This window comes from Homo sapiens, chromosome 4 (genome assembly GCF_000001405.40).
Source record: "Homo sapiens chromosome 4, GRCh38.p14 Primary Assembly".
In the NCBI taxonomy this organism is placed as follows: domain Eukaryota; kingdom Metazoa; phylum Chordata; class Mammalia; order Primates; family Hominidae; genus Homo; species Homo sapiens.
Window position 1 is genome coordinate 53,734,865 of NC_000004.12, and position 14,354 is coordinate 53,749,218.

Genomic DNA, 14,354 nt, shown 5'->3' on the forward strand with positions numbered 1-14,354 from the left:
CGACAGAACTCAGGGAACACACACTCATGAGTCCTTCTTGAGAGGAATTATTCAGTGATGAACAGTCAATTTAGAGATGAATAGAAATAAAATATTTGGAAATATAGAGTCTGGGATAAAAAAGACTTCTTAGGAACACATAATTCATTTGAGTATGGAACTCATGGTATTAAACAATTACGGGATTAATGTTTCCACAACAGAATGTGAATATTATAAGCAAAGATATTGTAAAAATAATATTAGAGCCAAAATTGGGAAGTGAGGGGTAGGGAGATGGGAGGAAGTACAAGTCTAAAGATTTACTCATCTTTCCGATGTGTGAGTCATTCAATATTGTCTAAAACTGAAACATGTTGCTAAAAAAATAATGACTCCAACATTTTAACATTTTTCATAGTATCTTTTCTTAACCTTATTTCCCCAAGAGGGAATATTGAGCAAATAGTATCTCCTGTGGTAAAGAATATTTAATGAAAGGGCAACAAATTTTCAGTTTTATGTTAGTTTTACTTTTCTAATGTTCAATTCAAGTAACATTAAATCCATTAGTTTTTTGAAGAATGTGTATAATATGATCATCTTTATGTAAAAATATTTTTGCCTGTCTATGTCTGTTTCTCTTTCAATCTCTCTTTAGCATATGACATGGCTTGACTCTGTGTCCCCACTCAAATCTCACCTTGAATTTTAAAATCTCCATATGTCAAGGGAGGTACCAGGTGGAGATAATTGAATCATGGGGAGAATTTCCCCCATGCTGTTCTCATGATAGCGAGTGAGTTCTCAAAATATCTGATGGTTTTATCAGGGGCTTCCCCCTTCACTTGACACGCATTCTCTCTCCTGCCGCCCTGTGAAGAGGTGCCTTCTGCCATGATTGTAAGTTTCTTGAGGCCTCCCTAGCCATGTGGAACTGTGAGTTAATTAAACCTCTTTTCTTTATAAATTACCCAGTCTTGGGTATTTCTTCATAGCAGGGTGAGAATGGACTAATGCGGCATACATTTCTCTTTCCTCTCCTCTCCTTTCCAAATAGTAACTGGATTTTCATTCAGATTTCCATCTCTCTGCCAGGCAACCTAAGTACTTCAGGGGACTGTGAACCCAGCTCCAGGGCCAGGGTGGAATGATTGGGCTAAGGATAATTCCTTATCCCAGGGAACTCAGGTCAAAACCAACCAGGGTGTGGCATATTCCTGCAGTAGAATCTGGAATGGGCTTGTGACCCAGCTCAGGCCAGTGAAACATGAAGGAAGGCTTGGCGGAGAATTCTGAAGAAGGAGCTTCTCAGCTTTTAAGAGAAGCTCACCATAGGAAACTCCCTCTCTCCCTCTGGACTTGTTGGTTTAAAGACGCAAAACCTGGAGCTGCTACAGACATTTTTCACCACTGCAAGTGAAGACTTCTGCCCCATAGACAGCGACTGGAAGCTGGATCAGGCCAACCCTGAAGATCACTCTGTCTCTGGATGTCGGTTACACAAATCAATACATTTCCATGTGTTAAAGCAATTCGACTTGGATTTTACATATATTTTTGAAACTGAAAACATTGTAATCTATATATCTACTTAGAAAGATGTGAAATATCCACCTAATAATAATCATTTGGGGTTACTAATAAAAATTATTTTTACTTTTCTTCATTGCTTACTTTATAATGAGCTGTTTCATTTTTTAAAACACAAAAAGTTATTATTCTTGCATATTAAATTGTTAAACATAAAAGTAATATGTACTCATTGGAAAAAAATCCAGACACCTTCTCTTCCAGGTGACCTAAATAGAATTAGGGAGAGAGAAAAATAATGATCTCTGATCAGAAAATATAATAAAAATGATTTTAGAAAGAGTCAACATATTTACTCTGCTTAGAAGTTTACACATATAATCTCATTTAATTTTCACAACATATTATGCAGTAGGAAGCATCATTAGCTCCATTTTATAGACAAAAAAAATCTCTTGCATTCTGCAATTGTCTAAAATTACTTTGAAAAGAGACAGTTTTTAATAGCATAGTTAAAGATAAAAGATTTATAACATACACATGATAGAGAAAATTAATATAGTCATGCATTACTTCATGATGGAAATATGTTCTGAGAAATGTGTTGTTATATGATTTTGTTGCTGTGTAAACATCACAGAGTGAACCCACACATCCTCGAAGGTATAGCCTAATGCTCTTAGGTTACAAAGCTGTACAGCATGTAACTCTACTGAATACTGTGGTCATTATAACAAATTGGTATCTGTGTATCTAAACATTAAAAAGGTACACTACAAAGAGACTTAGACTCCCACACAATAATAATGGGAGACTTTAACACCCCACTGTCAACATTAGACAGATCAACGAAACAGAAAGTTAACAAGGATACCCAGGAATTGAACTCAGCTCTGCACCAAGCAGATCTAATAGACATCTACAGAACTCTCCACCCCAAATCAACAGAATATACATTTTTCTCAGCACCACACCACACCTGTTCCAAAATTGACCACATAGTTGGAAGTAAAGCTCTCCTCGGCAAATGTAAAAGATCAGACATTATAACAAACTGTCTCTCAGACCACGGTGCAATCAAACTAGAACTCAGGATTAAGAAACTCACTCAAAACCGCTCAACTACATGGAAACTGAACAACCTGCTCCTGAATGACTACTGGGTACATAACGAAATGAAGGCAGAAATAAAGATGTTCTTTGAAACCAATGAGAACAAAAACACAACATACCAGAATCTATGGGACACATTCAAAGCAGTGTGTAGAGGGAAATTTATAGCACTAAATGCCCACAACAGAAAGCAGGAAAGATCCAAAATTGACACCCTAACATCACAATTAAAAGAACTAGAAAAGCAAGAGCAAACGCATTCAAAAGCTAGCAGAAGACAAGAAATTACTAAAATCAGAGCAGAACTGAAGGAAATAGAGACACAAAAAACCCTTCAAAAAATTAATGAATTCAGGAGCTGGTTTTTTGAAAGGATCAACAAAATTGATAGACCGCTAGCAAGACTAATAAAGAAGAAAAGAGAGAAGAATCAAATAGACGCAATAAAAAATGATAAAGGGGATATCACCACCGATCCCACAGAAATACAAACTACCATCAGAGAATACTCCAAACACCACTATGCAAATAAACTAGAAAATCTAGAAGAAATGGATAAATTCCTCGACACATACACCTTCCCAAGACTAAACCAGGAAGAAGTTGAATCTCTGAATAGACCAATAACAGGCTCTGAAATTGTGGCAATAATCAATAGCTTACCAACCAAAAAGAGTCCAGGACCGGCTGGATTCACAGCCGAATTCTACCAGAGGTACAAGGAGGAACTGGTACCATTCCTTCTGAAACTATTCCAATCAATAGAAAAAGAGGGAATCCTCCCTAACTCATTTTATGAGGCCAGCAGCATCCTGATACCAAAGCCGGGCAGAGACACAACGAAAAAGGAGAATTTTAGACCAATATCCTTGATGAACATTGATGCAAAAATCCTCAATAAAATACTGGCAAACTGAATGCAGCAGCACATCAAAAAGCTTATCCACCATGATGAAGTGGGCTTCATCCCTGGGATGCAAGGCTGGTTCAATATATGAAAATCAATAAATGTAATCCAGCATACAAACAGAACCAAAGTCAAAAACCACATGATTATCTCAATAGATGCAGAAAATGCCTTTGACAAAATTCAACAACCTTCATGCTAAAAACTCTCAATAAATTAGGTATTGATGGGACGTATCTCAAAATAATAAGAGCTATCTATGACAAACCCACAGCCAATATCATACTGAATGGGCAAAAACTGGAAGCATTCCCTTTGAAAACTGGCACAAGACAGGGATGCGCTCTCTCACCACTCCTATTCAACATAGTGTTGGAAGTTCTGGCCAGGGCAATTAGGCAGGAGAAGGAAATAAAGGGTATTCAATTAGGAAAAGAGGAAGTCAAATTGTCCCTGTTTGCAGATGACATGATTGTATATCTAGAAAACCCCATCGTCTCAGCCCAAAATCTCCTTAAGCTGATAAGCAACTTCAGCAAAGTCTCAGGATACAAAATCAATGTGCAAAAATCACAAGCATTCTTATACACCAATAACAGACAAACAGAGAGCCAAATCATCAGTGAACTCCCATTCACAATTGCTTCAAAGAGAATAAAATACCTAGGAATCCAACTTACAAGGGACGTGAAGGACCTCTTCAAGGAGAACTACAAACCACTGCTCAATGAAATAAAAGAGGATACAAACAAGTGGAAGAACATTCCATGCTCATGGGTAGGAAGAATCAATATTGTGAAAATGGCCATTCTGCCCAAGGTATTTTATAGATTCAATGCCATCCCCATCAAGCTACCAATGACTTCCTTCACAGAATTTGAAAAAACTACTTTAAAGTTCATATGGAACCAAAAAAGAGCCCCCATTGCCAAGTCAATCCTAAGCCAAAAGAACAAAGCTGGAGGCATCACGCTACCTGACTTCAAACTACACTAAGAGGCTACAGTAACCAAAACAGCATGGTACTGGTACCAAAACAGAGATATAGATCAATGGAACAGAACAGAGCCCTCAGAAATAATGCCGCATATCTACAACTATCTGATCTTTGACAAACCTGAGAAAACAAGCAATGGGGAAAGGATTCCCTATTTAATAAATGGTGCTGGGAAAACTGGCTAGCCATATGTACAAAGCTGAAACTGGATCCCTTCCTTACACCTTATACAAAAATTCATTCAAGATGGATTAAAGACTTACATGTTAGACCTAAAACTATAAAAACCCTAGAAGAAAACCTAGGCATTACCATTCAGGACATAGGCATGGGCAAGGACTTCATGTCTAAAACACCAAAAGCAATGGCAACAAAAGCCAAAATTGACAAATGGGATCTAATTAAACTAAAGAGCTTCTGCACAGCAAAAGAAACTACCACCAGAGTGAACAGGCAACCTACAAAATGGGAGAAAATTTTTGCAACCTACTCATCTGACAAAGGGCTAATATCCAGAATCTAAAATGAACTGAAACAAATTTACAAGAAAGAAACAAACAACTCCATCAAAAAGTGGGCAAAGGACATGAACAGACACTTCTCAAAAGAAGACATTTATGCAGCCAAAAAACACATGAAAAAATGCTCACTATCACTGGCTATCAGAGAAATGCAAATCAAAACCACAATGAGATAGCATCTCACACCAGTTAGAATGGCGATCATTAAAAAGTCAGGAAACAACAGGTGCTGGAGAGGATGTGGAGAAATAGGAACACTTTTACACTGTTGGTGGGACTGTAAACTAGTTCAACCACTGTAGAAGTCAGTGTGGCGATTCCTCAGGGATCTAGAACTGGAAATACCATTTGACCCAGCCATCCCATTACTGGGTATATACCCAAAGGATTATGAATCATGCTGCTATAAAAACACATGCACACGTATGTTTATTTTGGCACTATTCACAATAGCAAAGACTTGGAACCAACCCAAATGTCCAACAATGATAGACTGGATTAAGAAAATGTGGCACATATATACCATGGAATACTATGCAGCCAGAAAAAATGATGAGTTCATGTCCTTCGTAGGGACATGGATGAAACTGGAAATCATCATTCTCAGTAAACTATCGCAAGAACAAAAAACCAAACACAGCATGTTCTCACTCATAGGTGGGAATTGAACAATGAGAACACATGGACACAGGAGGGGGAACATCACACTCTGGGGACTGTTGTGGGGTGGGGGAAAGCGGGGAGGGATAGCGTTAGGAGATATACCTAATACTAAATGTCGAGTTAATGGGTGCAGCACACCAGCATGGCACATGTATACATATGTAACTAACCTGCACGATGTGCACATGTACCCTAAAACTTAAAGTATAATAATAATAAGATAAAATAAAATAAAAAATAAAAAAGTACAGTAAAAATAAAGTATTACAATCTTATGGAGCCATTGTTATATATGTGGTTGAGCGTTGACTGGAATGTTGTTATATGGTGCATAACTGTGTATGCATGGGACTGTGTATGACACAAAATGGAAATGGAGGTAGCAGATCTTTTGCTACTTTGGTAGCCACTGGGACAGAAGACTGAAAGCCACTAGGTCTTAGTAGTTTGGCCTGGCTGAGTTTTCTAAATCTTATAAAGAGAAAAGCCCAGATCTTTCCCTAGAAGCTGCCACCATCTGAAATTGGACCTCTGGCATTTTAAGATAACTTACTGATGCAGCTTGGCTGTGTCCCCATCCAAATCTCATCTTGAATTGTAGCTCCCATAATTCCCATGTGTTGTGGGAGGGACCCAGTGGGAGATAATTGAATCATGGGGGTGGTTTCCCTCATACTGTTCTCATGGTCATCCATAAGTCTCACAAGATCTGATCATTTTATAAGGGGAACCCCTTTTGCTTGGTTCTCATTCTTTCTCTTGCTTACTGTGATGTAAGACGTGCCTATCAACTTCTGCCATGATTGTGAGGTCTCCCCTGCCAGGTGGAATTTTGAGTCCATTAAACCTCTTTTTCTGTATAAGTTACCCAGTCTCAGGTATGTCTTTATCAGCAGTGTGAAAACAGACTAATACACTTACGCAGAAGTATAAGCTCCAGTAAGGTATGGACTGAATCAGCCTTATTTAATGTTGTATTCCCAGCACTCAACATAGTACCTGGTATACAGTGAGTGCTCAATAAATGCTTGGAGAAAGAAAACGAGAGAGGGGAAGGAAGGATTATTTTTGATTTCTCTTCTGGTCCACCCACCTGCACCTTTCTCCAAGTTGATGATGCCTTTTATCTGTACACATCTTCCTCTTCCTCCCCTTTCCCTTTCAGCTGGCAGGAGGACACCTGATAGCAGGAACTTGAACTGCCCTCTTGGGCCATGAAAGAGAAGCTGCACTTTGAGGATGACAAAGTAACAAGATCGAATCCTTGTTAAGCCACAATTAAAGCCCTGTATTGCCTCCCAGATTTCTGCATGGGGGAAAGATGTCCATCTTCTTTAAGTTGTGGTATTTTGGGGTCTCTTTGAAACAGGAGCCTTATTCTTGACTAGTGTGTGTCAAGTACTGACACACTTTAAGAGAAACCATAGTTACCAGGATGGTAAAATAATTGACATTTCCCTAATTCATTTCTTAATTTTATTATTATTTTTAAACATTAGATTTTTCAGAAACTCATTTGGCTTAAGGGGGTTTATTGGGTCATATAACTTAAAAACTCCAAAGGATTTTGGGTCCCAGATATAGTTAAATGCAAGGGTTAAATAACATACATAGAACTCACACTTTATCTCCATCTCTGGCTTTGTTTTTTTCTGTATTGTGTTGACTCCTAGAAAGGATCTCTCTGTGAGGTGAACCCTAAATCTCTTGGCTTATACTGTCCTTAGAGATAGCAGTTCCAGTGGGAAAAAACTCCATATCCCCAGTGTTCCCATCAGAACTGGAGATTGGCCCTCGTTGGACTTTCACTGAATCATGTACCATCTCTGAACCAATCACGGTGGCCCGTGGCTCAGACCTGGGACATGCCTCTGCCTTGCAGCTGGGGATGAATCAGTTGTACCTAAACCATGTGCACTAAGGGTGAGAAAAGAGAGATTCCCCAAAGAAGGTTTAGGGTGCTCTTAGCAGAAAGATAGGAATGAATGCAGAAAGGCAACAACTACAAATGTCCACTATAATTTATTTATTAATTCAACAAATATTTATTGAACACCAAGAATGTGTCTGGCTTTTTCTTAGATGTTGGAGATGTAGAGTGAAGAAAATTCACAAAAATCCCTGCCCTCTATCTTAGTCCATTTGAGCTGCTATAACAAAATACCATAGACTGGTGGCTACTAAACAATAGAAATTTATTTTTCACGGCTCTGGAGACTGGATGTCCAAGATCAAGTTGCCAGCAATTTCAGGGTCTGGTGAGGACCCACTTCCTGGTTCATAGATGGCACCTTCTAGCTGTGTCCTTAACATGGCAGAAGGGGCTGGCTAGCTCTCTAAGGCCTCTTTTATAAGGGAAATAATTCCATTCATCAGGGTTCCACCTTCATGGGGAAGGCTTTCCACCTTCATCTAACAAAAGCCCCATCCCCTAATACCACCACCGTGGAGGTGCAGATTTCAACATAAGAATTTGAGGGGAAGACACACACATATTCCGTTCATTGCACCTTCCCAGAAAAGTTCTTCATATTCACTAATAATGAATTTCTTATTTCTTTTGTCCTCTTAAAAAGCTTATGTGTACCTTCTTCTGGGATATTACAAAACTAACCAAGGGCTCTAGAATAAACTTAAGGCTTACAAAGAAGTGATTTGGGGCTTTTATATTGTGGGGGAAGGTGCAAAGGCTTGGTGGAGTTTTGGTTGTGAGGATGAGAGAGGACTAACAAAGAATCAAGAAAAAGTCAACGTGATACCCAAACAGTTTAGAAATGGAGTCTGTATATTCTCATATGGCGTCATCTCACCCACAGGAGAGCTCAATTATTCTTTTTTCCCCCATCCTAATCTTGCAGCACACTTGAAAGGGCTGGAAGAAATCTTACAGTATGACATATGGGCACCAATTAGGCTTTTCTAGGTCTAGGAAATAAAATACTAACTTCTATAGTTGTTCCTAGTGAAAGATGCAAAGTAATTTGTCTCCTGGAGGAGTATAGAAGCATTTGCAATGGTTTCCTGTTTTGCACACTGCCCTTGTCTATGCCAGCTTGTTGTCTTGACAAATTTATTCTCAATAGCAGCAGGACATATGCTTATGATTTTCGGAATGGAGGCACTAGAGATAAGCTGGAACCTGTCGCTGAAAAATGAACCCCAGTGAAATTTTTTTGTAGCCCCATATTTCAAGATATGTTGGTTATCCTCCAGAAAGTGCCCAAATCAACAAAATTGATTCAGAGATTTGTGCAAACTTCTGACACATACACAGACCATATTTTAAATGACACATAAACATTGACTTTATACCTCGTCTCTTCGGTCTTGGCCCTCGTCTCCCCCACCCAACTGCCACAACTTGGCAAATACTGACAACTAGAAGGTTTTTATTTATTTAAACAAATATCTGGTGAAGAAAGAAAGTGGAATAGTCAAATTTTGTTTGTGGTTGGGCAGGTGGTGGGGAGCAGGATGGGGAAGAATCAAGAGAAGTCAGCAATGAACTTCATCCTAGTCCAGTAAACACTGCGGTGTCTTGGGTGACCTGTTATTTCCTTGCCAAAAGCAAAACAAGGGCACAGGCTTGATATAGATGGGGAAAGTTTGTGTATACCCTTTGACTCAACATCTCAAAACCAAACTGGTCTATTGTAAGTGAGTTTGCAAGTTGCTTTCTCTCTCTGAGTCTCAGTTTTCCCTATCTGTAAAATGGGGTTAATAATACATAGTTCTTAAGATTGTTAGAGGACTAGATGATGTATCCCACATAAAGCATTAAGTATTCTGGCAGGCACATAGGGAGTGCTTAGTAAAAGGTAGTGCATGCACACACACACACACACACACACGTGTTCACACAAACCCACACAATGTCCTGATTATGGAGTTTTGCATGTCATCTTTATATAGTTGAACATTGGGCCTGTGACTACAGTCCTTCCACAGATAGGTGTCCTAACCATCTGTAGGCTCAATGTAAGAGCCACCCAGGTGTTTGAGTGACAGAATTATTCAGAGAAACCCACTTCAAACCTAGACAGAGACAGCTCTCCTTAATGACTCAGAGCATCTGCTTTCTAGCCCCAAAGAGGCCATTTAGATAACAAAGGCAAATTTGAGATGTGAAATGGCTGATAGCAGCCCCCAAATAGAGCAGGTGTGGGGTGGAATAAAAGCCCTCTGTTGTCCATCAGTGTCAGCAGCACCTCTGTGTGAACGGTGGCGCTGCTGGAGCCTCCCATATAAGGCAGGAGATGGAGCTCAGGAGCCAGGGAGTGGGGCTGGAAAGCTGGTGAACAGAAGGTCACTGCTCAGCCACCAAGCTGATGAGACCTTGAGAGGAACGTTACCCTACAGCCTCATTTGCACAGGAAGAAACCGAGGTTAGCAGAGATTCAGTGAGTTGCTGGAGATCTACTGTGAGATGGAGGCAAAACTAAGAAAAGGAACTCAGTTCTCCTGCCTCTAGCCCAGTCAGTTACTTCTCCTGTACCTCCTGGGGTCATCCCACCTGGTCAGAGCTTGAGAGTATTTATTCTGAGCAATTCTCCAGAGCAAGGAGAAGAAAACTGCCAAGGAAGGAAGAGAAAGGAAAACTCTTTTTTAAAAAATGGGGGGACAAGTTATTTTTTAAATATAAAATTGAATCATACTTACTAAAGTTAAACAGTTCAGTACTATAAAAAATAAGAAGTATGAATCTCATGCTCTTCATCAAACACAGCCTCCCCCATCCCATTCACCAGAGGTAAAAACTGTTAACAATTTTTAGTATGTCTTCCAGACTTTTCCTAGAGATTTATATTTATATACTTTTTTAAAAACACAGATGAGATTACACAATACATACTCTTCAGAAGGTTGCTTTTTTACTTAATATGCTACAGCTACCTTTTGGTGTTTATACTCATTGTTAAAATGGATCTACTGTGTTTCATCATGTGGGTGTAACATGATTTATTTAACTGGTTCTCTAGAGATGGGCATTCAGCTTGTTTCCAGCATTTTTCTCACTAGTACAAACAGCAGTAAGCATCTTGTTCAAATACCCTTGTGCAAGTGTGTGAGCATATCTTTCCTAAATGTTTTAGAGTTAGGTCTAAAGGCATACACATTTTAAATTTTAATAGATTTGACTCACTATACTTTCAAAGACTGAATCAATTTGTGCTTTCACCCAAAGTTATCCTTTCCCTACCCTCATCAACACTTGGTGCCAGCCATCTTCATACAGTTTTCCTTATGTTGTTTTCATGGATGTTCCTGAATTCCAAGTAGAGTTGGGCATCCATTTGTATTGTGAATTGCCACTTGTACTTCCTTTATAATGAGCTGTCTTTTATTATGAGCTGCTTGCTTTTATCTTTGGTCCGTTTTTCTCCTTGGTTTTCACCTGTTTTTCTTTTTGGCTTTGTCAATCAAGAAAAATGACCTCGACAAGTCTCAATCATTTTAGGGGGCTTATTTGCCGAAGCTAAGGATGTGTGCCTGGGAGACAGGTCTATGCCTTTCTTCGAATATGATTTTGAGGGCTTCAAATTTAAAGGGGAAAAGAGGGGGATATTGAGATATACACAATTTGCATGCAAGAGGGGCAGTAGGGGAAAAAATAGTCACTTATGCCTTTGTCTGGCTCAGTGAATGTGAATTTTTACATATGATAGCATAGACAATAGGGCAGAGGAAACAATAAGATATGCGTTTGCGTCAGGTGGGCAGAGGGATGACTTTGAGTTCTGTCCTATGTCCCCACACCTGTGAAGATAAGCTATCAATTTATATTGCCATGGTGAATTTTAACAGAAATGCTTTAAGGTAAAGATCTTGGGGCCCACAAGGAATTTCCTTGTGGGCAAACTATGAGGGAGATGTGTAGCTTTTCATCGTGTAGCCATCTTATTTAGGAAAAAAAGTGGGAGGCAGGTTTGTGTGACCCAGTTCCCAGCTTGATTTTTCCCTTTGGCTTAGTGAGTTTGGGGTCCCAAGATTTATTTTCCTTTCATAGCTTATAGTAGTAAAATTAAATAAATCAGTCTTTGTCTACAATATGGGTGACAGTAACATTTCTCAGTTTATTGTTTTGTCTTTGGGCTTTGTTTTGCTCTGTTACATTTTATGTGATCAAATTTATAAATCTATTCTTCATAGCTTCTGGGTTTTATGTCACACTTTAAGAGATCTTTATTATTCCAAGAAAATAAAATACTGCCTTTATTCTAATGCTTTCATAATTTTTTTTATGTTGCAAAAATAGACCAAGATGAAATTTATTTTAGGTAAGAAATGATGTAAGGATTCAGCTTCCTTTTTTTCTCTCTCTCTCTCCTGTCTCTTTCTTTTATCCCCTCAGATCACTAGTCTATTGTCACACTATTTATTGATTTATTTATTATTTGACCCTTACCTGAAATGTCACCATTTTTACAAATCACATTCCCATTCATACTTAAGTATTTCTCTGGGCTCTATTTTGTTCCAGTAATCATTCTGTCTCTTCATGTACTAATATAATTTTGTCTCAAATACTGCAGGATCATAATACATTACTAGTTTCTATTAGGGCTATCCTCACATAGCTTCCATAAAATAAAGTTTGTTTGTTTGTTTATTCATTTTTAAAAAGGACCCTGGTTATGCCTCAAAGAAAAGACATAGTGATAATGATCTAGCATTATATTTTACAAAATCTACTCCACATATATTTTTTAGGTTTCTGCTCATATATATGAGCAAAATCATGCAGTGTATATAAGTCATTTCCTCCTGGGTCATCATATGTTCCTGATCTGGGGCACACTGTGATTTGAACCTAGTTATTGGTGTAGTGGCAACGGGGGCAGTTGTTGTAGTCTTGTGGAAAATGAGCATCCCCTCGGAACATTGCTATCCCAGCGGAGGTTACTGCAGGGCTTTCAACCAAAGAAAGCGTGGTCTCCCCAAACACAGAAGAACAAGCAAGGGAGGCTCAGAGTGACGTGGGTGTGTTTAGAATCAGTTCTAACCTGATGCCTCACTCCAAGTTTCAGTGTCTCATGCTTTCCCATTTGATTTCCTATCTTTTACATCAGAAATTTGGCAAGGCTGTGAATCCAACTGAAATTGTAATTCTGCAAGCCTCCCAATTAAATTTTATGTTTGATTTTTATCAATATCAGCCTGTGGCCATAATAAATAAAAGATTATTTTTGGGCTGCCCTAGAAATGTCTAGTTTGCCACTCATGACTTGAACTGAAAATTAAAGGAATTTTAGCCTGTCATTTGCTTTCTGTAAATGCTACAGTACACTCCAGAGGATCCATCCAACATCATAGTCCTTGCTTTAGTTTGCACTTCATCACAATTACCATAGTTTGATTAATTGCAAAGCTATTACCTGCCATGGATTATTAGTATCAATTTCCCACTGGCAAAGAAATTGTCTCTGCACTGAAGCCTAAAATCATGATCAAACTAGTACCAAATCTCATGTGTGAGGGTCTGTCTTTTAGGACCACTACTGGTATCAATTCTGTAAGGTCTAGTCAGGAGATAGCTACACACCAGTAATTTGAACAGAAAAAATGTAATATACAGAATTATGAGCTAGTAAAATGCAATTAACTACTAAAAGAGAACTAGAGAATATAGAGAAGAAGCTCCTACCTCTAGAATGGAGAGAACATAACATAAAGAATTAAGAACATGAAAGAAGGTCCCTCCTCCAAGGCTGAATTCAGCCCTCAGTGGGTATCTTGTGGCTGACACAGAAACATGTAGCCTCTCAGTGGTAAAGAAACTTGTCAGAAAGTTTGGCCAGAGCTGGTCTGTAGGAACAGCTTGCTAGGTGGTTGAGACACTCTAGAAGGTGCAGGCAAGCTGCAGCTGGTTTGCAGGAACTGAAACTGGGTGGCTAAGTTCACTGGAGCGAGCTGGTGGGCTGAGCTGGAGAGCAGGACATGGCCAGCTGGGGTACCAGGGGACTGGAGCTGACTTATAAGAAACAACCTGCAGGCAGCTGAGGGGTCACAGCTGGTCTACAGGAAGTGGTCTGCTGGGTGCAGGAGAAACTCACTAGAGAGTGAACGACTTGGGCCTCCTGTCTGCCTGTTTGCTGACAGCTGTACCATAAGAGAGTAAGAGCACCATAACTGAAGATAAGCCTCTTCCTCTGCTATGACCTTACAGCAACACCCCAGTACCCTCTATTGACAATTAGGCTAACACTTCGGCAGTTGGGAAAGGAGAAATGTTTACAGGGTCCAGTCCCGCTACCACCAATAGAGCAAAGATGGATGCATTTGGAGCTGAGAGGAAATGGGTTGATAACTGGCACAACTAGTATGGATTATGTTTGCCAGTTTCAGGATCTCTATTCTGATGGTCTGGAGATCTCTTATATTTGATGATCATCCACTGTTAATAAGGGAAACACCCAAACCCTTTAACCAACGTGGTGCTTCATTTTCTCGGGTTTCCTGTGCCTCTCCACGTAAGGGCCTTTAAAATCTACAATGTCAGCAGCTTCAGTGCTCAGACTCATGGTCCATTTGCAAGGACAGCTGGTGAAATAAATAACATCTTTGTGGAAAAAGACAGAAAATAATGAAATAATATAAATCAAAACAAAGAGATCACCATAACCAGAGAATGGGATGCTAA

At 39.2% G+C, this 14,354-nt stretch overlaps 3 annotated features.

The window, feature by feature from the left end:
- Positions 10,086-10,145: a silencer, noted in NCBI's record as "silent region_15431". NCBI's record gives its function as "represses an Ori minimal core promoter by ATAC-STARR-seq in GM12878 lymphoblastoid cells {active_cell/tissue: GM12878}" and the evidence as "EXISTENCE:reporter gene assay evidence [ECO:0000049][PMID:35858748]".
- Positions 13,484-13,693: an enhancer, noted in NCBI's record as "active region_21569". NCBI's record gives its function as "activates an Ori minimal core promoter by ATAC-STARR-seq in GM12878 lymphoblastoid cells {active_cell/tissue: GM12878}" and the evidence as "EXISTENCE:reporter gene assay evidence [ECO:0000049][PMID:35858748]".
- Positions 13,744-13,793: an enhancer, noted in NCBI's record as "active region_21570". NCBI's record gives its function as "activates an Ori minimal core promoter by ATAC-STARR-seq in GM12878 lymphoblastoid cells {active_cell/tissue: GM12878}" and the evidence as "EXISTENCE:reporter gene assay evidence [ECO:0000049][PMID:35858748]".